Source organism: Homo sapiens, chromosome 3, assembly GCF_000001405.40.
Source record: "Homo sapiens chromosome 3, GRCh38.p14 Primary Assembly".
Lineage (NCBI taxonomy): Eukaryota > Metazoa > Chordata > Mammalia > Primates > Hominidae > Homo > Homo sapiens.
The window spans coordinates 39,418,551-39,425,849 of NC_000003.12; the positions used below are offsets into that span (position 1 = coordinate 39,418,551).

General features: G+C 40.3%; 1 long non-coding RNA gene across 1 annotated transcript; it reads left to right on the forward strand.

Annotated features, from left to right (window-relative positions):
- The first annotated feature begins 661 nt into the window (after positions 1 to 661).
- On the forward strand, positions 662 to 6,310 carry LOC107986075 (uncharacterized). The gene is made up of 2 exons (XR_001740663.2): positions 662 to 2,164; positions 5,252 to 6,310. It is a non-coding gene; the product is annotated as an uncharacterized LOC107986075 (long non-coding RNA).
- The last annotated feature ends 989 nt before the right edge of the window (positions 6,311 to 7,299 follow it).

The following is a 7,299-nucleotide window of genomic DNA, read 5'->3' on the forward strand; positions in this document are numbered from 1 at the left end:
AAACACGTGAACAAAGGTCTCTGCATCATAAACAAGGTAAAGAAGTAAGTGCTGTGCTTTAGATATGTATACACATAAACATCTCAATGCCTTAAAGAGCAGTATTGCTGCCTGCATGTCCCACCTCCAGCCCTAAGGCGGTTTTCCCCTATCTCAGTAGATGGAATATACAGTCGGGTTTTACACCGAGACATTCCATTGCCCGGGTACGGGCAGGAGACAGATGCCTTCCTCTTGTCTCAACTGCAAAGAGGCGTTCCTTCCTCTTTTACTAATCCTCCTCAGCACAGACCATTTACGGGTGTCAGGCTGGGGGACGGTCAGGTCTTTCCCTTCTCACGAGGCCATATTTCAGACTATCACATGGGGAGAAACCTTGGACAATACCTGGCTTTCCTAGGCAGGGGTCCCTGCGGCCTTCCGCCTTCCGCAGTGTTTTGTGTCCCTGGGTACTTGAGATTAGGGAGTGGTGATGACTCTTAAAGAGCATGCTGCCTTCAAGCTTTGTTTAACAAAGCACATCTTGCACAGCCCTTAATCCATTTAACCCTGAGTTGACACAGCACGTGTTTCAGGGAGCACAGGGTTGGGGGTAAGGTTACAGATTAACAGCATCTCAAGGCAGAAGAATTTTTCTTAGTACAGAACAAAATGGAGTCTCTTGTGTCACTTCTTTCTATACAGACACAGTAACAATCTGATCTCTCTTTCTTTTCCCCACAGGGTCCATCTATGCAGTCTGATCCTGACCTCTCCATTTTTCTCCCTGCTCTATGAGTGTCCCTGAGTCAATGCTACACTAGCCTATTTACTAGAACTCTATAATCTATTGTGGTATCAAGTAGGGCAATCCTCCTATCTTCCTCCTTTCCTCCAAGAGAGTCTTGGCTATTATTGATGATTTTGCATTGTCATATACATTTTCAAGCCAAATCCAATCGGTTAGTCCAGTTCCACTATAAACCCTGTTGGGATTACATTGATTCTATAGAGCAGTACTGACTGATTTACACTACTGAGTTTTTCAACCCGTGAGCAATCTGTGTGTTACTCCATTTTCTCATTTTTATGTCCCTCAATAAGGTTTTATAATTTTTCCTGTAGAAGTTTTGCATGTCCTTTGGTAAATTTATTTGTAGGTAATTGAGACATTTTAAAATTGTTCCCTTTTGGGAAACTATTAAGGATCCTGTTGGAAAAACTCAACCTCATGTTCTAAATAACGTGATATCCAGTGGTAAATGTCACTATTTCCGTGGGGTTTCTGACCCAGCCTGAGCAATCCAGAGTTTTTCTACAAGGCAGGGATGAGATTGCTAAACTCCATCCATGAAAAACCTGCTTTTAAGCCTACAGGTAAAACATTCTATTTGTTTAATAGGGCAGGGCAAGCTGTACTTCTGAAAATGCTAAGTTCAGCAGGCTTCTTTTAGGAATAGTGCCAGAATTAGCCAATTCTACTTTGAAAAAAATCTCAAGTAAAATAATAAGAACTCAACATTCAGCAAATATTTATTAAGCACTTACTCTGGACCAGGTATTATTACAAGCAATGGGGATAGAGCAGTGAATGAAGACAAAGCCTGTGACCTTGTGGCAGTTATCTGGAGAGGCAGATAACAAGTGAACAATTTATTTACTATGGAAACAGAAGTGAGGATGATGGAAACATGAGGAAAGCTTTTGTCTAAAGCAAGAATCACAGGCATCAGCCTATAGAAACAGGACAAATGGAGAAAATCACTGGAGAGAATGACAGCAAAGAAACCCCTCCAGAGAGAAGAGGTCTCAGTCCAGCCTCACACCAAGTAGAGCCTCATCAAAACGTTCTGTTCTCATAGGGAGTTGGGGGCCTGTACCAGAGGCCATGAAGTCTCTTGGAGTCCATGCTATGTGAGTGGTGCACATCTCCACTGCCCAACCCATAGAAAACTCACCTAAGTTTTCTCTTTTCTCTTCTATAGATATTTTTGGAAATGAGTTGGGGACAAGGAAAAAGCTATCATTGCACAGACATCTACCCCAATTCTGCCTCCTGCTGCACTCTCACTGAGAGACAATGGTCCAAGAAGCACTCTCCCCTCTCCATGGCTGGCTAGCTAGGTTCACATTGGTGCAAAGAGCACTCGACATTGCCAGAAGTGTGCATCATCATGTCCCCATGGTAAGGCCCTCTCACCACCTCTCCTCAGTGACTCAGCTCTGCATTTTCTTCCATCCGATACTCTTATCTCAACCCAAGGGGTGTCTTCCATTTATGATGTGCAAAAGAAAGGTACAGTCTTTAGCATGAGAAAGTAGTCCCTTAGACCATCATGGTGGCACACAAGACTCTGCACAGGCCATCAAGTCTGAAGAAATGAATGGGCTAGTTTGACATTTGTTTCAAAATCCCTTACAGGGAAATTTTTTTGGTATTACTGTATATCATTTCATATAGATATATTTCTTTTAAGTAAGTTGTCTTTTTAAGACAATATCTAGTTATTGACAATGTGCTTTTGCCATTTAGAAATAAAGAATATGATCATTGCAATTTAAAACCCAATGAGCAGAAAAAATAATAAGACACTGTTGTAGAAAGGTTTGATGAATTAGAAAAAATATATGAAAACAATTATTCATAAGGAGAACAGAGAGAGGAGGAAAAAAAATACAAAAGAGGAGATACAAAGAGAGTAAAATTAGAGAGTCAAACTGTCTAATTGGAGTTCCAGAGAGAGAGAAGAGAGAATAAAGAAGTCAGTGTCAAATAGATATGACTAAGAAATTCTCATGAATCTACAAATAGATATGATCCGAAATTCTCATGAATCTACAAATTCAGGAATTCCAATGTGTAGTAAGTGGAAATGGTTTTTAAAACCCCATTCTTATTTACATTGTTAAAGAATCCTGAAATGCCAAAACCAAAAGTGTTCTTGAAAGAAGCCAAGGAGAAAAGGAAGGACACCTGACTGTTCCCCATCAATGGTGACAGCTAGGGGACAGTAGAATGAGAAAAACAAATGGCTAACTGACTCTGTCATTGAAGAATTAGGACAATATAATGACTTTTCCAAAAAACAAAAGTTAGTAAGGAAAAAAGAAAATGAAGGCAAAAGAAAGCTGCGGCCAGGATGAACACCAATGTTTATGAGGATTTCTCAGTCATATCTATTGAACACCCATGTTCATCCTCCTTTCTTCCATACTAACAGAGCCTGTGAGTTTTCACTGAGCACAGGCTGAAAAGCTGGTGCCTCACATTACATGGTGGTAAAATGTTGGGTCAGGTTTTGGAGCCTGCATTGCTTTGGAGGGTAGACCAAAATTTGATCAAATCTGTGGCATTAGGAAAATGGTAGGAGAGATCCAGAGTGACGGTCTGTGTGACTCTTGGCTGCTTTAAGCATAGTCCTATGAGAGACAAGAACTCTGGCTAGATCTGGCCAGCCTACAAGCAGAAGTGAAAGGACCTAGAATTGTGCTAATGCAGGCATTTTCTGTCTTGGTCCGCAATATACAGAGTCAAACACTATTTACCCACCTCAAGCAGTTATGAGCTACGTATCTGAAGGGACAGACTCCACAGGAGATAACACTCTTGCCCTTTGGAAAGGTAGCATGCATTAAGGTGAGATTAAGGTAGGGTTAAAGGAGTTGTTTTCCATTCCAAACCTACCATAAACAAGAAAAAAGCCCCAGCCTGGCCAACATGACAAAACCCCATCTCTACATAAGCATAACAAAATTAACGCAAGTGTGGTGGCAGGCACCTGTAATCCCAGCTACTCGGGAGGCTAAGGCAGGAGAATCACTTGAACCTGGGAGGCGAAGGTTGCAATGAGCTGACACTGCGCCACTGCACTCCAGCCTGGGCGACAGAGCAAGACTTCGTCTCAAAAAAAAAAAAATGAAAAAAGTCTGGCAAAATCAGATAATGGTAACAAGGATTTGGAACAAGAACTCCTATACTAGGTGGTGGGAGTATAAATTGGTACAGTTTGGCATTCTTTAGTAACATAAGCATCTATATTATTGCCCTTGAAGGTATACACTAAAGAAAATCATGCACATTTGCACTAGGGTATGTGGACAAGAATTCTAATTGACAAACTTGGAAGTAGCTCTGGGTCCATCTACAGTACTGTTGATAAACTATTGTATATTTATACCACAAAGTGCCAATCAGTGATGAAATTAAACATATCATGGCTACATGCAATGACATGTATGAATCGTACAAATTTGGGCAAAATAAGTGTAACAATATTATTCCTAATATGTGATTCCATTTGTGAAAAGTTCAAAAACAAGCAAAGGTAAGCTATATCTATATCTATATCTATATCTATATCTATGTCTATGTCTATGTCTATGTCTATATCTATATCTATCTATCTATCTATTTTTTTGAGATGGAGTTTTGCTTTATTGCCCAGGCTGGAGTACAGTGGTACAATCTCAGCTTACTGCAACCTTCACCTCCCAGGTTCAAGCGGTTCTTCTGCCTCAGCCTCCCAAATAGCTGGGACTACAGGTGTGCACCACCATGCCTGGCTGATTTTTGTATCTTTAGTAGAGACGGTGTTTCACCATGATGGCCAGGCTGGTCTCAAACTCTTTACCTCAGGTGATTCACCTGCCTTGGCCTCCCAAAGTGTTGGGATTACAGGTGTGAGCCACTGCACCCAGCCTAGCTATATTCTTTAGAGATATATTCCTTGGTGGCAAACATTAGACTGTGTAAATCAGTAACAAGATTTCTAATATATGGGGTAAAAAACAAGCAAGATAAAAGCAATCAACAAAATATTTACAAAGAGTATAGGCTGGGTGTGGTGGCTCATGCCTGTAACTCCAACACTTCAGGAGGCCAAAGCAGGAGAATCTCCTGAGCCCAGGAGTTCCAGATCAGCCTTGGCAATGTAGCAAGACCCTGTCTCTAATAATAATGATAAAAATTTTAAAACGGGTATGGAGGTTATGTGAAAGATAAAGTGTTTTGAGGTCTTTGTTAATGAGAGAGTTTAAAATATCAACTTCAGACCATAAATGTCTCTCATTCTACATGCTTATCTTAACATGACATTGTCACTATCCAATGGGTGGAATCTATGTCCCCTCCCTTTCAGCCTTGGTAGAAGTTCCAACTTCCTCAAGTAATAAGATAGAATGGAAATGATGCTATGTGTTTTTCAAAGATATGCCATAAAAATGCCATTCCCTTTTGTCTGGGTCCCTTGGGACATTTGCTCTTGAAACTCAGCCATCTTCCAGTGAGGAAGCCTGAGCAGCTGGGGAGAGGCCCATATGGAGAAGAACCAAAGTCCCCAGTCCCCAGCCCCAGACCAGCTGAATTCCCAGCTAACATCCAGCACTAACTTGCCAGCCAAGAGAATGACCTGTATTGAAAGTGGATTGTCCAGCCCCAGTTGGAGCCATCTCAGCAGTTGCCATGTGGAGCAGATGCAAGTCATTCCTGTCAAACTCTGTGCTTATTTGTGAGCAAAAGAAATAATTGTTTTTGTTTTAATCAACTTAGCTTTCAGGGAGTTTGTTACTGAGCAATAGATAACTGATACAATGGAAAAATTCTAGAGGCATTTTCACTAAAGTCAGAAACAAGACATGGATAACCCACTATCACCACTCCTCTATATCATAGCAGTGAACTTATCAGGTAATGTAACTAGGTGAAAGTAACTTTTTATATACACAATATATGGCCAACTGACCTTCTCTTTAGAATTAACAATAAGCATTTCTCTAAATGCTCTTAGAATTTACAATAAGCTTTTATATCGATTGTATACATTAGCTACACAGTAAGCTATTAAGTGGCTGCAAAATAGTTTATATATCTATTTTCCTAGTTTTAATATTTTATAAAATTTCAACTATTATAAACATGGCTGTCATTAACATCCTTGTGGTTAACTGAATCACATGGCAGGGAACATTTTAAGATGTTAAAATAAAAACATTAAATTTCCCTAAATTGAATTTTTAGTAGCAACAAAAGAGACTGCAGATTTGAATTTATTATCACTCATAATAATTATCATTCTTTGACAATCTGATTAGTGAAAAATTGCAATGCAGTGTTGTTTATGTGCATTTCAGTTAGGTAAAGAGCAATTGCTAACCTGCTTTGATTTGAATATTCAGGAAGAAGCTTCAAGGTTTAACTTGCCAGAAAGCTTTTTTCCATGAACTGGAAAGTTATTCTAGAAGTTGTTAAGGTCCCTTCTGCCAGCAATAGTCTATGCATGCAATAATCAAATAAAAAAGCTACTGCCTGACATGTTTACCACAAAAACAAAAATACAGTAAACTCTTATACCTTGTAATTTCACTATTCAACAATATTTGTTGAAAACTGACCACGTGCCTTGTGTTAGGCCAAGAATGTGGGATTCGACAGATAACTAGAAACTTTCCCCATCCTCCAGGAACTTACTCTGTAATTTGGAGAGAAGACAAACACAGAAATGCATTTGTCATTTCATGAAGGTGAAAAAAGGCACAGCCAAACTGCATTAACACCATTTACCATTTGAGGTGGAAAATGGAAACTGACTCCACAGGAATGAGGCTGCTGACTCCAAAGGTAGTTTCCAGCAAGGAGTTCCAAACATGTTTTGAGCAATGGCAGCATTCCTAGAATTTATGTATACCTTCCTGAGTTGATCACCTAAAGGGCAACATTACTGTTCAAGTGCAGCCTTTTTTTTTTTTTTTTTTTTTTTTTGAGACAGAGTCTCACTCTGTCACCCAGGCTGGAGTACAGTGGTGTGATCTTGGCTTACTGCAACCTCTGCCTCCTGGGTTGGAGCAATTCTCCTGCCTCAGCCTCCCGAGTAGCTGGGATTACAGGTGTGCACCACCACGCCTGGCTAATTTTTTTATTTTTAGTAGAGACGGGGTTTCGCCATGTTGGCCAGGCTGGTCTTGAACTCCTGACCTCAGGTGATCTGTCCACCTTGGCCTCCCAAAGTGCTGGGATTATAGGCATGAGCCACCACGCCTGGCCCAAGTGCAGCCTTTAATTTACAAGTCAGTCATGAAACTTTACCCATATTTCCTCAAACATTGCTAACAAATTGGAACTACTTTTGTAGTGGTCAGGTAGCTTCTTTCAGACACATCTTCTCATGGACAACCACTAAAAACTCTGGGAGAAATATACAAATGATCGTTGGATGATAGTGAGGAGAAAACAAAAGAAGGTGGTTTCTAGAGGAGAGTTGAGTCCTATAAGGAGAAAGTCACTAGGTGAGTTTGCTATATTTTGCAGCTTTTATCCTTTGGTCA